A 17,080-nucleotide genomic window follows, 5' to 3' on the forward strand; every position below is an offset into this window, starting at 1 on the left:
TCTCATTGTTCAATTCCCACCTGTGAGTGAGAACATGCAGTGTTTGGTTTTATGTCCTTGCGATAGTTTGCTGACAATGACGGTTTCCCGTTTCATCCATGTCCCTAAAAAGGACATGAACTCATCACTTTTTAGGCCTGCATAGTATTCCATGGTGTATATGTGCCACATTTTCTTAATCCAGTCTATTGTTGTTGGACATTTATGTTGGTTCCAAGTCTTTGCTATTGTGAATAGTGCCACTATAAACAAACGTGTGCATGTGTCTTTATAGCAGCATGATTTATAATCCTTTGGGTATATACCCAGTAATGGGATGGCTGGGTCAATTGGTATTTCTAGTTCTAGATCCCTGAGGAATCACCACACTGACTTCCAAAATGGTTGAACTAGTTTACAGTCCCACCAACAGTGTAAAAGCTTTCCTATTTCTCCACATCCTCTCCAGCACCTGTTGCTTCCTGACTTTTTAATGATTGCCATTCTAACTGGTGTGAGATGGTATCTCATTGTGGTTTTGATTTGCGTTTCTCTGATGGCCAGTGATGATGAGCATTTTTTCATGTGTTTTTTGGCTGCATAAATGTCTTCTTTTGAGAAGCGTCTGTTCATATCCTTTGCCCACTTTTTGATGGAGTTGTTTGTTTTTTTCTTGTAAATTTGTTTGAGTTCATTGTAGATTCTGGATATTAGCCCTTTGTCAGATGAGTAGGTTGCAAAAATTTTCTCCCATTCTGTAGGTTGCCTCTTCACTCTGATGGTAGTTTCTTTTGCTGTGCAGAAGCTCTTTCATTTAATTAGATCCCATTTGTCTATTTTGGCTTTTGTTCCCATTGCTTTTGGTGTTTTAGACATGAAGTCCTTGCCCATGCCTATGTCCTGAATGGTATTGCCTAGGTTTTCTTCTAGGGTTTTTATGGTTTTAGGACTAACATTTAAGTCTTTAATCCATCTTGAATCCATTTTTGTATAAGGTGTAAGGAAGGGATCCAGTTTCAGCTTTCTACATATGGCTAGCCAGTTTTCCCAGCACCATTAAATAGGGAATCCTTTCCCCATTGCTTGTTTTTGTCAGGTTTGTCAAAGATCAGATAGTTGTAGATATGCAGCATTATTTCTGAGGGCTCTGTTCTGTTCCTTTGGTCTATATCTCTGTTTTGGTACCAGTACCATGCTGTTTTGGTTACTGTAGCCTTGTAGTATAGTTTGAAGTCAGGTAGTGGGTAGTGTGATGCCTCCAGCTTTGTTCTTTTGGCTTAGGATTGACTTGGCCATGCGGGCTCTTTTTTGGTTCCATATGAACTTTAAAGTAGTTTTTTCCAATTCTGTGAAGAAAGACATTGGTAGCTTGATGCGGATGGCATTGAATCTATAAATTACCGTGGGCAGTATGGCCATTTTCACGATATTGATTCTTCCTACCCATGAGCATAGAATGTTCTTCCATTTGTTTGTATCCTCTTTTGTTTCATTGAGCAGTGGTTTGTAGTTCTCCTTGAAGAAGTCCTTCACATCCCTTGTAAGTTGGATTCCTAGGTATTTTATTCTCTTTGAAGCAATTGTGAATGGAGTTCGCTCATGATTTGGCTCTCTGTTTGTCTGTTATTGGTGTATAAGAATGCTTGTGATTTTTGTACATTAATTTTGTATCCTGAGACTTTGCTGAAGTTGCTTATCAGCTTAAGGAGATTTTGGGCTGAGACGATGGGATTTTCTAGATATACAATCATGTCATCTGCAAACAGGGACAATTTGACTTCCTCTTTTCCTAATCAAATACCCTTTATTTCCTTCTCCTGCCTGATTGCCCTGGCCAGAACTTCCAACACTATGTTGAATAGGAGTGGTGAGAGAGGGCATCCCTGTCTTGTGCCCGTTTCCAAAGGGAATGCTTCCAGTTTTTGCCCATTCAGTATGATATTGGCTGTGGGTTTGTCATAGATAGCTCTTATTATTTTGAGATACGTCCCATCAATACCTAATTTATTGAGAGTTTTTAGCATGAAGGTTGTTGAATTTTGTCAAAGGCCTTTTCTGCATCTATTGAGATAATCATGTGGTTTTTGTCTTTGATTCTGTTTATATGTTGGATTACATTTATTGATTTGCATAGGTTGAACCAGCCTTGCATCCCAGGGATGAAGCCCACTTGATCATGGTGGATCAGCTTTTTGATGTGCTGCTGGATTTGGTTTGCCAGTATTTTATTGAGGATTTTTGCATCGATGTTCATTAAGGATATTGGTCTAAAATTTTCTTTTTTGGTTGTGTCTCTGCCAGGCTTTGGTTATCAGGATGATGCTGGCCTCATAAAATGAGTTAGGGAGGATTCCCTCTTTTTCTATTGATTGGAATAGTTTCAGAAGGGATGGTACCAGCTCCTCTTTGTACCTCTGGCAGAATTTGGCTGTGAATCCATCTGGTCCTGGACTTTTTTTGGTTGGTAAGCTATTGATTATTGCCTCAATTTCAGAGCCCGTTATTGGTCTATTCAGAGATTCAACTTCCTGGTATAGTCTTGGGAGGATGTATGTGTTGAGGAATTTATCCATTTCTTCTAGATTTTTTAGTTTATTTGTGTAGAGGTGTTTACAGTATTCTCTGATGGTAGTTTCTATTTCTGTGGGATCGGTGGTGATATCCCCTTTATCATTTTTTATTGCATCTATTTGATTCTTCTCTCTTTTCTTCTTTATTAGTCTTGCTAGCAGTCTATCAATTTTGCTGATCTTTTCAAAAAACCAGCTCCTGGATGCATTAATTTTTTGAAGGGTTTTTGTGTCTCTATTTCCTCCAGTTCTACTCTGATCTTAGTTATTTCTTGCCTTCTGCTAGCTTTTGAATGTGTTTGCTCTTGCTTTTCTAGTTCTTTTAATTGTGATGTTAGGGTGTCAATTTTAGATCTTTCCTGCTTTCTCTTGTGGGTATTTAGTGCTATACATTTCCCTCTACACACTGCTTTGAATGTGTCCCAGAGATTCTGGTATGATGTGTCTTTGTTCTCGTTGGTTTCAAAGAACATCTTTATTTCTGCGTTCATTTCATTATGTACCCAGTAGTCATTCAGGAGCAGGTTGTTCAGTTTCCATGTAGTTGAGTGGTTTTGAGTGAGTTTCTTAATCCTGAGTTCTAGTTTGATTGCACTGTGGTCTGAGAGACAGTTTGTTATAATTTCTGTTCTTTTACATTTGCTGAGGAGTGCTTTTCTTCCAACTATGTGGTCAATTTTGGAGTAGGTGTGGTGTGGTGCTGAAAAGAATGTATATTCTGTTGATTTGGGTGGAGAGTTCTGTAGATGTCTATTAGGTCCGCATGGTGCAGAGCTGAGTTCAATTCCTGGGTATCCTTGTTAATTTTCTGTCTTGTTGATCTGTCTAATGTTGACAGTGGGGTGTTAAATTCTCCCATTATTATTGTGTGGGAGTCTAAATCTCTTTGCAGGTCACTAAGGACTTGCTTTATGAATCTGGGTGCTCTTGTATTGGGTGCATATATATTTAGGATAGTTAGCTCTTCTTGTTGAATTGATCCCTTTACCATTATGTAATGGCCTTCTTTGTCTCTTTTGATCTTTGTTGGTTTAAAGTCTGTTTTATCAGAGACTAGGATTGCAACCCCCTGCCTTTTTTTGTTTTCCATTTGCTTGGTAGATCTTCCTCCATCCCTTTAGTTTGAGCCTATGTGTGTCTCTGCATTTGAGATGGGTTTCCTGAATACAGCACACTGATGGTTCTTGACTCTTTATCCAATTTGCCAGTCTGTGTCTTTTAATTGGAGCATTTAGCCCATTTACATTTAAAGTTAATATTGTTATGTGTGAATTTGATCCTGTCATTATGATGTTAGCTGGTTATTTTGCTCGCTAGTTGATGCAGTTTCTTCCTAGACTTGACGGTCTTTACAATTTGGCATGTTTTTGCAGTGGCTGGTACTGGTCGTTCCTTTCCATGTTTAGTGCTTCCTTCAGGAGCTCTTTTAGAGCAGGCCTGGTGGTGACAAAATCTCTCAGCATTTGCTTGTCTGTAAAGTATTTTATTTCTCCTTCACTTATGAAGCTTAGTTTGGCTGGATATGAGATTCTGGGTTGAAAATTCTTTTCTTTAAGAATGTTGAATATTGGTCCCCGCTCTCTTCTGGCTTGCAGAGTTTCTCCCGAGAGATCAGCTGTTAGTCTGATGGGCTTCCCTTTGTGGGTAACCCGACCTTTCTCTCTGGCTGCCCTTAACATTTTTTCCTTCATTTCAACTTTGGTGAATCTGACAATTATATGTCTTGGAGTTGCTCTTCTCGAGGAGTATCTTTGTGGCATTCTCTGTATTTCCTGAATTTGAATGTTGGCCTGCTTTGCTAGATTGGGGACTTTCTCCTGGATAATATCCTGCAGAGTGTTTTCCAACTTGGTTCCTTTCTCCCCGTCACTTTCAGGTACACCAATCAGACGTAGATTTGGTCTTTCCACAAAGTCCCATATTTCTTGGAGGCTTTGTTTGTTTCTTTTTATTCTTTTTTCTCTAAACTTCTCTTCATGCTTCATTTCATTCATTTCATCTTCCATCGCTGATATCCTTTCTTCCAGTTGATCGCATCGGCTACTGAGGCTTCTGCATTCGTCACATAGCTCTCGTACCTTGGTTTTCAGCTCCATCAGTCCTTTAAGGACTTCTCTGCATGGGTTATTCTAGTTATCCATTCGTCTTATTTTTTTTCAAAGCTTTTAACTTCTTTGCCATTGGTTAGAATTTCCTCCTGTAGCTCGGAGTAGTTTGATCATCTGAAGCCTTCTTCTCTCAACTCGTCAAAGTCATTCTCCATCCAGCTTTGTTCCATTGCTGGTGAGGAGCTGCGTTCCTTTGGAGAAGGATAGGCGCTCTGATTTTTAGAGTTTCCAGTTTTTCTGCTCTGTTTTTTTCCCATCTTGGTGGTTTTATCTACCTTTGGTCTTTGATGATGGTGATGTACAGATGGGTTTTTGGTGTGGATGTCCTTTCCGTTTTTAGTTTTCCTTCTAACAGTCAGGACCCTCAGCTGCAGGTCTGTTGGAGTTTGCTAGAGGTCCACTCCAGAACCTGTTTGCCTGGGTATCTGCAGTGGTGGCTGCAGAACAGTGGATATTGGTGAACTGCAGATGCCGCTGCCTGATCGTTCCTCTGGAAGTTTTGTCTCAGAGGAGTACCCAGCCGTGTGAGGTGTCAGTCCGCTTCTACTGGGGGGTGCCTCCCAGTTAGGCTACCCGGGGGTCAGGGACCCACTTGAGGAGGCGGTCTGCCCATTCTCAGATCTCCAGCTGCATGCTGGGAGAAGCACTGCTCTCTTCAAAGCTGTCAGACGAGGACATTTAAGTCTGCAGAGGTTACTGCTGTCTTTTTGTTTGTCTGTGCCCTGCCCCCAGAGGTGGAGCCTACAGAGGCAGGCAGGCCTCCTTGAGCTGTGGTGGGCTCCACCCAGTTCGAGCTTCCCAGCCGCTTTGTTTACCTAATCAAACAACTAACTCGGCAATGGCAGGTGCCCCTCCCCCAGCCTGGCTGCTGCCTTGCAGTTTGATCTCAGACTGCTGTGCTAGCAATGAGTCAGACTCCGTGGGTTTAAGACCCTCTGAGCCATGTGCGGGATATAATCTCCTGGTGTGCCATTTTTTTAAGCCCGTTGGAAAAGCGTAGTATTAGGGTGGGAGTGACCCGATTTTCTAGGTGCCGTCTGTCACTACTTTCTTTGACTAGGAAAGGGAACTCCCTGACCCCTTGCGCTTCACGGGTGAGGCGATGCCTCGCCCTGCTTTGGCTGACACACGGTGCGCTGCACCCACTGTCTTGCACCTACTGTCTGGCACTCCCCAGTGAGGTGAACCTGGTACCTCAGTTGGAAATGCAGAAATCACCCATCTTTTGCGTCACTCACGCTGGGAGCTGTAGACCGGAGCTGTTCCTATTCGGCCATCTTGGCTCCTCCCCCCTATATATCTCACTTTTAAATAAATCCTATTAAAAACAAAGGCAGTAAGTGTCCAAAATCCATCATTTTCCAATTATGTTTCCATACGTTACTATTATCTGTGCTCTTGTAAGTGTTTTATGCCCATCGTGTCTGCGTGGTGGGAGCGCTCTGTCATGCTGCACTCTCATGCATCTCCTCCCACTTCTGTGCTCAGTACTGCCAGGTGAGCAGCTTAAACTCAGAAGTCTGTCATGGTGGGAGCATTTACACCACAGAAATTGGTAAGTGCCACAAATCAGGGCTTGGTTTATTATTTTGTTAATTGTGTAGGTAGGAGAGTGATGGAAACAATGATAACAATACAGATTAAACAGAAAATTGTGTTTTATCTGTAGCTGTTACATTTGGAACAGCACAAATAATGAGGAAATATTATTCCAGTATTCAACACTATTATCTATTTCAGCAATCTCTCAGATTATAGTTTTAAATTAGAACAAATATTATGCAATTTCTAGGTTTTGCTGTTTTTGATCTTTTCCATAAAAAACACCAGAAAAATTAGGGGACATTTTAGAAATTTTCCTGAACCTAAGAAGCATATAACATTTCCATTTAAAATATTAAAGTTATATTTAACAATCTCATGTATGTTTTATATCTCCAAAATAGTTTTAACACTAATACTACTATTTCTAAAATATTAATGAAGAGAACTTGTGAAACGATAATTAATGATCTCCGTGTGTTCACCCTGCCTTCCCTAGTAAGCTGGGTCTCCTGGAAACACAGCTCAGAAGTGACACTCTAAAGTCTCCCTTAAATGAGACAGATATTGCATGGAGTGAATGGCAGAGGAGGAACGTGGGCAGCTGGGATGGCTTTGGGGAGAAAGCACAGCAGTACCGAAAAGCCTAGAGTGACTCAGACACACGATCCCTTGCTAGCTGTTTCACTGTGTACATTCGTGTAACATACACGCGAGACCACTGGCCTAGGAGAGTGCCTCGGGGCACCTTGCTGGTTCTGTGCCATAATTTCACAACAACTTCCTCTGCCTCTCATGCCTGGTTTCCTCTTCTGGAAAAGTGATCCATGGTCTGCTTTTACAGTTTCCCTGCAAGGAGTAAAGCAAGGATCCCCAACCCCTAGACCACAGACCAGGATGAGTCCATGGCTTGTTACAAGCTGGGCTGCCCAACAGGAGGTGACCAGCCAGCGAGCAAAGGATTCCCACCTGAGCTCCACTTTCCATCAGATCAGCAGCAGCATTAGACTCTTACAGGAGCACAAACCCTATTGTGAACTGTGCATTCAAGGCATCTAGGTTGCATGCTCCTTATGAGAATCTAATGCCTGATGATCTGAGATGGAACAGTTTCATCCCAAAACCATCCCTTGTCCTGCCAGTCCATGGAAAAATTTTCTTCCACAAAATAGGTTCCTGGTGCCAAAAAGGTTGGGGACCATTCTGTGCATGTGTAGAGGGAGTGTGTATGTGTTATGTGTGTAATGTGTGCATTGTGTGTGTGTCATATGTGTGTATATATTGTGTGTGGTATGTCATCAGTGTGTGTTGTGGGTGTATGTTTTGTGTATGTGTGGTGTGTATGTTGTATGTGTGTGTGCATATGTTGTGTGGTTTTGTGGGTGTGTGTTGTGTGTGCATGTGTTGTATATGTATGTTTTGCATGGTGTGTATGTTAATGTGTGTGCATGTGTTATGTGTGCTGTAGGTGTGTGTGCATGTGTTGTGTGTTGTGGGTGTGTGTTGTGTGTGCATGTGTTGTATTGTGTGTTCTGTGTGTGGTGTGTATGTTTATGTGTGTATGTGTGTGTCTTGTGGGCTTTGGGTGTATGTTATGTATATGTGTGGTGTGTATGGTTAATGTGTGTGCATATGCTGTGTGTTATGGGTGTGTCTTGTGTGTCTGCATGTGTTGTATGTGTATGTTCTGTGTGTGTTGTGTATGTTTGCATGTGTGTGTGTGCATGTGTTATGTGTGTTATGAGTGTGTGATGCGTGTGTGTGGTGTGCATATGCATGCCTGCTATGTACCAGTGGTCATTTTAGGAGGTTTATATCCTTTGTTCCACTTAATTCCATTTAGTTGTGAGATGGAGGAAAATTATTTTACAAATTAATATAGAAGAGCTCTACAGACTACAGTCAACTGTGGGAAATGATTCATTTTTATTTCTCCCTTTTTTCTCTCTATCCATGGGGTCTACTAAAAGGCAGGAGAACAGTCCGTCTGCATCTGTCTGTGAAGGATGGAGTTCTATTACTGACCTAATGGACAGGCATCTGGCAACCCAGGCGCTCTGGCTGGTGTGGGCATTAGCATTGCTAAAGGAAAGATCATAGATATTATTCCTGCTCTGTCATCTGCCAGCTGAGTGCATTTGGGGTAATCGCCTTCCCCTAAAGGACACAGTTTGGGCCTCAGTGAAGTGGGCGCTAGTTTCCAGAGACCATTCCGGGTTGGAGAGCCTCTGGTGGAGGGATTCCTTTGGAGAAATGGCAGCGCACGTTGAAACTGCAGAAGCCAGCGCAGGAGCCTCGTGTTGGCTTCATTCAGAATCTCAAGTTTGGATGCGAAGGCTCCCAGGTGGGCAGACAGAGACAGCTGAGAGGCATGTCAGGTGTCCCGAGCCTTCCAGCTCCCCCTGGGAAGTCATGGAAAGTGCTGGTCAGACGTGCCCTCTGGTGGTCCCCAGAGCCAGCAGGAGCTGCTGAGCGTCTGCAGTTCAGCTGGGCTGAGCCAGGGTCCCACCAGGACTGGAACCCGATCACCAAACCTCCATTTTCACTAGAGACTCAAAGACACCCCAGCTGAGTGTGCCCCTGGGGTCATCTGGTCACCTTCCCCTAGCCCTGTGCAGCCTCAGTCCAGAGAGGAAGAGCCCTGTCATGCCCCGAGGGGCTCCAGGTTGACTATCCGGATACCAGGAGCAGCCAGTGTGTCAGCCTGTGATTCATGAATTCTTGTCCCTGAAAGACCAACAACTGTTTTCTAAATGAACAAATGAATGAGCCAGTTAATGCAGCACAGCCCTTCATCCAGGGCCATGTGCATCAGAACCTGCCCTGACACTGCGGCACTTCATGCTCTGGGGCCAGAATCCAGAACACTAGAGCCCAGAGCCCAGTAGCCCAGGTCTTAGTAGCACTGGTTTCTAAGGAAGGTGGGAGTCCGAGCAGGGGGCCGGGTCCTGCTCACACAGGTAAGAGGAAAGAGGAAAGGGCCGAGTTCCTGAAAAGGAATGGGCTGTCTTCTGAAGGTTCCGTTTGGTTAGTAGTTCCTGGTGAACAGAGAGGGGCAGGCAGGCTACACAGCCTGCTGTGTCCTCCCCAACGCCTGCCTCACCCCGCAGCTCCCCGTGCCGAGTGACATGCAGCCAAGAACCACAGCAGAATGAAGCTCTGCAAGCCAGCAGGCTCAGCCTCCTTCCAGAGGCATTTTCCTCCTAAGCATCACTTCCTAGACTACATCTGCAATGGTCTGAATGCCCAGAGTCTGTCTGAAGTCTCACCTGCAGAAGAAGGTACTCGAGGCCAGGAACATTCTTTTCAGACCATCTCAGACTCATTCTGATGCAAACATTCAAATGCACAAAATGCAAATTAGGACAGAGTCCCCAAAATGCCTCTCGGCACCACTTAGGTTTGAGGTGATAAGCTCTGCGGTTTTTAGAGCTCTACGAGGAGTTAGCCGAAATGCTTCTCACAGTAATTTTAGGAGGCTAAAGGGAAATCTTTCATTATTCAAAGAAGAGCACATGGCTTTGGGGACCCGTGCTTCAGAGAGAAGGAGAATGGGGAGCCCCTGAGAGGGACAGGAGAGTCCCAGAAAGCAGAAAGCACTTGCTTTCAAGCCATGTGCTGTCTGGCTGGAGCTGTGGTCAGGGGATTAATCACTGGTTAAGCTCCGCGAAGCCTCAACTATGACTCAGCCCCGTGGGTGGCAAGACTCAGCTCACGCCTCTGTGGCCACCGAGCCCCTCCCCTCCTTTCCAGATGCATTCACAGAGATCGCGCCCTCCTTTGCTTGGCGGGGCACCTTTGCAAACGCACACCTATTTGCTCAGATTCCATTAATAAAAATGGAATCAGGCAAGATCTGCAAGCTGAGGCCACGGGTAGAGCCGAGCCCATGTTCCCTGACAGAACAGAACTGATGTTTGTTTCCATCTAATTTCTCAGCCCATTTTCTTTTTATAATCAGAGCTTTCTGTGGCAGAAAAAAATTCCATGCAGAAACTGCCAGTGGGAGTGATGTCCGAGTCCCACTGGACGTCTGTGCTGGCCTGTGCTGACAAAGAGGCCCCTGGCTCTGCAGGAACAGAGTGTCTTTGAACAAAAGCCCAACGTGTCTGCAAGGAGGAGTCTTTCCAGGAGTTCGAAACCATCCTGGCCAACATGGTGAAACCCCGTCTCTACTAAAAATACAAAAATTACCTGGGTGTGGTGGTGTGTACCTGTAATCCTAGCTACTCGGGAGGCTGAGGCATGAGAATCACTTGAACCCACGAGGCAGAGGTTGCAGTGAGCCAAGATCACACCACTGCACTCCAGCCTGGCAACAGAGTGAGACTCCGTCTCAAAAAAAAAAAAAAAAAAAAAAAGAAGGACAGTCTCTGGAGTGTGAGATTTAAGAGACAGATTTGACATGAGCAAGAAAAAGTATTCCTGTTTAGAAAGCTAACTCCATCATGCTCAGTACATAAAGCTAATTTCAGTCAATTACATAACTAATAACTCCCCAGATTAAGTGCTTACAGAGTCCATTTTCATGTCTTCACTAACTGGGAAAGTGCTGAGCTGAGCTATCTCTGCAGACTCGGGAACCAAGTGCAGTCCTGTGCTCTCACCTCCACCTCTAGACACTTCTATTCTGTCTTCTCACAACAGCCAGGCTGGTGGCACACTGGCCGTAGTCAGGTGCAGGCCCCTGGATGAGTCTGGGATGGCGAGTCCTTGGGGTGGACGACTGTTCATCATTTTCTTACCGATTGCTTCCCAGGGACAGGGCTAGGGGCGCAAGCTGAGGCCTGGCTCAAACTGGAGTAACCCATTCTACATTGGGGAAGTTATTTAAGAATTCAGGCATCGCTTGGCATCCATGGGATGAGGACTGCAAAACCTCCACCAAAGTACTGTGCAGGGGCAGTAAGCGAGTGGCTGGATGGGTAACTGGCTGGTGTTACTTCCCCATCTCCTTCTGCCTGGCCCATGAGACCAGCGGTGCGGCCAGTTCAGGTCTCCCAGCAGCATTTGATGCCTAACTTCTCATTTGGGCTTTTGGGAGCACCAAAACTCAGCTGTGGGTTTCTTAGCAGCAAGAGGAATCAAAGAAGAAAACAAGTGGACTCCCTTTGGTAGCTTGCTCAGACCCTCCACAAAACTCATGGAAAGCAAGCACAGGAAGAGGGCATTGATGTGATTTGCCCAAATCCCCCCTTTTACAGATGAGAAAACAGACCCAGAGAAGTAAGTAATTCCCTGGAGGAATTGATAGGCTTCTCGTGTTGGAGCTGAAACCAGCTCCAACATCAGATTCCAAGCCTTTCCCAGAAGACACCCCCTGCCCCACAGTCTGTTTAGTGACATAGCCCGTGCCCCCCCAGCTTGGTTCGCTCTTCACTGCCATGGCCAAGGTACTAAATCCAACAGGCAGTCTCTGATCTCCCTGCAGCTCTCGCCACAGTCTCCCTATGTCCTTCCCGCAGCAGATGCTGGGATCTCTCCTAGGACTCCTGGCCACCCTGGTGCACGCTCGCCTCTCCCGCCGCCTCTGCTGAGCACTCTGCCCATCGCAGTCCTCTCCTATCCCTCTCTCCTCACTCTGTTCCCTCTCCTTGCGGATCCCATCCCCTCTTGAGGCCTGGACTCGGCCCATAGGCCTGTCAGCCTCACACTTCTGCTTCCACACACAGGTCTGCCCTGAGCTCCAGCAGGTGCTGGCAACGTCTACTTTGAAATGCCTTGCAGACATTTAACGAAAGCGCCCAAAAGCAACCTCTTGGAATTCTTCTCCAAAACCATCCCTCCTCCATCCTTTGTAATTCACGGAACACTCAGCGATATTGTTGCCACGCCCACCCTGGGCTGCTCTGGGCCAGGGAATTCCTGAATGACCAAAAGGACAGGGCCCTGGCCCTGCAAGCTATCTTCTCGACAAATGGTTTCACTCTGCCTAACATCCCCCTCTTCCTCGTCGCATCCTAACACCCAAACCTGCAACAAGTCCTGCGGAATCTGTCCCAGCCCGGCCTCTCCCATCCAACCACCCTTCCCATTGCCACTGACCTGCCCCACCACCCTCTTCAGCCCCGACACGCTCATTATCATCCAGCGCCCTTCCTGCCTTCCGTCTCCCTGGTCTCCAGCACCCATGACCACTGTCAGACAGGCAGCCCTTCCCATGTCCTACCTGGAAGCTGGGTGGCTTCCCACTGCCTGAAGGAAATCCACATACCTAGCCAGGCCCCCAAGCCCCTGCTGCTGGGCCCCTGCCCCCACTCCCAGCTGCTCCCCAGCCTCCCTCACTCAGCCATGCTGGACTTCCCCAGCTCCTCACATGAAACCTGCTTTCTTGCCTCCAAGACGTTGCAGGTGCAACTCCTGACTTAATCGTCCTCCTGGGTCTCTGCCCTGCTGCCTTTGTTGCCTCTGGGGCTGGATGGATGAGGGCTGGTCCTCAGGGCACCCTCTGACTCCTCGCCTGACCCGGGTGCCGCCTCACGTTTTTCCATCATGTCCTGTTCATGATGTATGGGGCGTGTGTGCATGTTTAATATCTTATCCATCCTAGTAGACTGCAGTTCCGTGTAGGCATGAGCCATTCTTTTTACTTCCCCTTCCTGAAACCCCCCAGCAGCTGACACAGTGCCCAGCTGGGCCTGGGGCCTGGAAACACTCACTGCCCTCTTTTGACGGCCTGGAGAAGCACCTACCTCGCTGCTGGAGAGAAGCAGACACTGCAGGGCTGGAGAAGGAAAAGATCTCATGTGCTGAGAGAGAATCACCTCCCCATGGACTCAGAGAGGTTTTTCATCGTAAAATATCCTGATCTAAGCATCTTACGGAGGGGCGAGCCTCTCACCACGTGCTGCCCAGCTCATAGCTGCGGTTGAACACACGGCCTGCCACGCAGCGGAGGAAGCCACAGCGGTGCGAGGTGAAAGTCTTCACACTCCTCAGTCCCCCCTCATGCAGCGGTGGAGCAACAGTGCTGCTGGGAGAAAAGTCTTCACACTCCTTCTCAGTCCCCCTTTCCCTCGGGCTCCCCCCAGTGCCTGCAGAATGGGGGCACGGGGAAGGCAGCCTTGCCAGCTGCTCAGTGCACCTTTAGCAAGCGCATGGGGGCAGGGGCCACGCCATCACTCCAGGCCGATGGGATGGGTGGAAGGTGTAGGTGCTACAAGGTGATCGAGGAGGGGTGGGCTTCGGGGATGGTCAGACCCCCAGGAGAAGTTAGCCACGGGAGTTAGCATGAGGAGTGGATTTGAAATTGGAGACAAATATTGAAACAGAGGATAAAATGGTATGAAATCATAGATAGAGAACATGCTGGAATCCCAGGAGTCATAATACATGTGTTTCTCCCACCAGGTAGAAGCAAGAACTTCCCTCTCCAGAACTTTCCGCTGTTTATCTTGGAACTGTAAATCTCCTCCCTGCAGGAAACAGGAAAATCCGAACAGAAGAGTCCACTGCTGCCAACCCAAGACCAGAGCCACAGGCACTCCCCGCTTCTGTTTTATAGACCATGCCAGGACAAGTGGTTAGTGTTGTCTGTGATCTTACATGGGGAGGCAGGAGGCACAAAATTTGAAAGCACAGACCCTCAAGACAGATGCCTGGGTTTAAATCACAGCCCACCATCTGCATCAGAGTTGGATGACCTTGGACAGATTTCCTCCCATCTCCAGTCTCTGTTTCCTTGTCCGTGGGCATGGATAATAATGGCAGGTTCACCATGAGGTGCCCTCGATGATTATATAAAATAACCCAGGCAAAGCATTGCACGGAGCCTGCCCGCAGCCGGAAGACAGCCCTGGCCCCAGCGCGCAGCCCCTCAGGGAGCCCGGCTCCTTTCTCCAGCATCTGACATCTTCTTACCTCTCTTTCCCCAAGGAACAGGCTGAAACCAGGACACTGAACTTCATCCACCAAGTCACACTCGCATAGACCCAAGCTTTGATTCACAACCAGTCAGCAGCCTGTTTCTGTAGATGGGGCTGGGGAGGAAGGAGGATGCTGGCCGTGCTACTGTTCTGTGAACTGAGAGCCGTGGAGGGCACTCCACTTTGTTCCACAAATGCGAATAACTGGATCCATCAAGCCTGTCAACCCGCAGTCTGTTCTAACCCAGTGGTAACTTCTGATGGTAAATGCGTTTCCCATGCACATTTCCCTGCATGAGAAATGTGCCACTCATGAGAAAATAACACGTGTAGGAAACAATGAAGGGTCACGTCCACGAAGCCTCTTCTATGTACAGGGCCCTGGGCTAAGCCCTTTCTGTGCCTTTTCTAAGCGAATCCTTGCCCAAACCTGCTAAGGAGATGCTGCCACTAAGGACGTATTGTGAGGAGCCTGAAACCTCAGGCCGAGGATCACGGGATTTATGGAAGACGGTGGAATCCCTGCGTATGTTGTGGACATGGCCACAAAACGCCTTTAACAACGACCAGATGTGATGCCCGGCAAGCCGCTCACGTCAGTCAAAGGCTCGTGATCAGCGTGTGTCCCGAAAAATTAGTTTTATTTTCCTCTTATTTCCACGTGCCACTTTTGTCCCAAAAGTTTATAAGTGTAATAAATGTCTAGTGAAATCTTTGACTTTGTAAGCAATGATAAATTTACAGATAAGTGACAGCCCCTGCAGAGGCAAAGCGCTGCTGTGAATCCCCAGATAACTGTCATTTATTTATGTTTCTAAATGTTCAAGTAAAAGCCTGCATTTTCAACAGCATCTGTAATGACCTCAGAGCTTCACTTCCCTGAAGAAAAGTAAAAGAGAAACTCTCCTGAAGCCACATCCTGTGTATTTGTACGCGGATGCAGAGGAGAACGCCAGGATTGCTTGAGACAGGACGCGTGGAGACCCCGCTAGCACGGCGCCCTTCCTGCTGGCCGCTGGGTCACAGCACTGGTGACGGCGTGGCAGTGCTGTCAGCTGCAGGCGGGGGCGTGAATGGTGACAAGATGGGTGCTGAACGCGGAAACGTGAGCCGAGGGCCACTCATGGAGAGGCGTGGGAGGCACCTCGATTCCCTTACAGTTGAGAACAAGGTGAGGTACTGGTGGGAATCGGCGGTGTGTGGGCGCACGGGGGCCAGGAGCGGGGCGGGGACCCTGAGCTTGGGCCACGTGGCTCTGTGGGTGCCCAGCAGCAACGTGGCCAGACCTCAGGCTTTTCCCCCAGAATGCCCGTGGGAAGCTTGGGATGAAGAAAAGCAGAAGGAGCCTCAATTACAGAGTCAGAAGGGAGTAGCCAGCCTCACCAGGAAGACACTGGTGGGAGGTGTTTGGAGGGGCCCCTGGCTCTACTCAGGAGTCCCAGAGGGTCCTTGGGGTGGATGTTGATGGCAGCAGTGTGTGGGGCTCGGGTGCCATCCCATGCTCTACCTGAGCACGCCCCCGCTTCGCCAGCCGACCCCCTCGTCCTGCCCCCAACCCTGGCCCCCGTGCGTCCACGCGCCGCAGATTCCCACCAGTACCTCACCTTGTTCTCAGTTGTAATTTGGGCTTTCAGCACAGGCATCACTCCCTGGGGATGCGTCCCAGGGGCCCCTGGCGGGTCAGAGCCTGGGCCTCCAGCATCTTCGGCTCCCTCCACCCACATTGCGGTCTTACTTTTCCCATGCAGCCATCTTAACCTCTGAACTATAGGCACGGGAAGGGAAGAGCTGCAGCCCAGGACGATCTGAGAGAGAAGTAAATTCCACGAAACACGAGGGAGGAGGGGGTATTCTGACTTGCCCAAAATACAAAGATGTGTTTTTCTAAGTTTTTTTTTTTTTTAACTTTAAATCCCGGGATATATGTGCAGAACATGCAGGTTTGTTACACAGGCAAACGTGTGCCATGGTGGTTTGCTGCACCCGTCAACCCGTCACTGAGGTTTTAAGCTGCGCATGCATTAGCTATTTGTCCTGATGCTCTCCCTCCCCTCGCCCCCGCCCCACAGGCCCGGGTGTGTTGTTCCCCTCCCTGTGTCCATGTGTTCTCATTATTCAACTCCCGTTTATGAGTGAGAACATGCGGTGTTTGGTTTTCTGTTCCTGTGTTAGTTTGCTGAGGATGGTGGCTTCCAGCTTCATCCATGTCCCTGCAAAGGACACTATCTCATTCTTATTACTGGGTATATACCCAAAGGAATATAAATCATTCTATTATAAAGATACATTCACGTGTATGTTTATTGCAACACTGTTCACAATAGTAAAGACATGGAACCAACCCAAATGCCCATCAGTGATAGATTGGATAAAGAAAACGTGGTACACATACACCACAGAATACTACATTTTTCTCAGTTTTAAAATTGTTCTTTTACCAACATCGGTTATGATAAGATGTGTGTGTATCTATGATTACAAACTTACTGTGAAGGATAATACAATTTGAATGTTCTAAACAGACTTGGGGGAGAGAAAATACATTGTTTTAATAAGGATATTGGTTCCCAAGGTGACCAACTTGGAAGATGAAGCTAATTTGGATTCGTAAGGTTGACTATATGAGAAAATAAATGCCATCATTTTCATGGTTATATCTTGTCTAAAATTCTGCTCTATGATATTCATGAACATCACTTCTATGTTAATAATTATTATAATTTGGCTAATTTCCAGACTTTAGTGTATTTTATCCAAAGATCATAAATTTTAATGTTTTGTTTGAGAATGAGGGATAACTAGAAATATTTTTAAATTCAGGTATAGAAAATTAACATATTTGAGTTTTCTCTCTATACTATTATTTATTTCATTTGGAAAAGGTCTAAAATATAGTCTTGATGGATGATTTTTATTTACTAAAGTGACTTAGATTTACAAAGTACAAAATGGTAGTTAAGTACAACACAGTTTTGTCCTTGGTAATCTTGCCAGTTAATAAAGCTCCAAGGTTGTC

At 46.7% G+C, this 17,080-nt stretch overlaps 2 annotated features.

Moving 5' to 3' along the window:
• Positions 9,806-10,370: an enhancer, noted in NCBI's record as "H3K4me1 hESC enhancer chr10:133312838-133313402 (GRCh37/hg19 assembly coordinates)". NCBI's record gives its function as "activates a minimal SCP1, AML or CMV promoter by ChIP-STARR-seq in naive H9 embryonic stem cells {active_cell/tissue: H9 hESC(naive)}" and the evidence as "EXISTENCE:reporter gene assay evidence [ECO:0000049][PMID:30033119]".
• Positions 11,770-12,296: an enhancer, noted in NCBI's record as "H3K4me1 hESC enhancer chr10:133314802-133315328 (GRCh37/hg19 assembly coordinates)". NCBI's record gives its function as "activates a minimal SCP1, AML or CMV promoter by ChIP-STARR-seq in naive H9 embryonic stem cells {active_cell/tissue: H9 hESC(naive)}" and the evidence as "EXISTENCE:reporter gene assay evidence [ECO:0000049][PMID:30033119]".

The sequence above is a fragment of the Homo sapiens genome, chromosome 10 (assembly GCF_000001405.40).
Source record: "Homo sapiens chromosome 10, GRCh38.p14 Primary Assembly".
In the NCBI taxonomy this organism is placed as follows: Eukaryota; Metazoa; Chordata; class Mammalia; order Primates; family Hominidae; genus Homo; species Homo sapiens.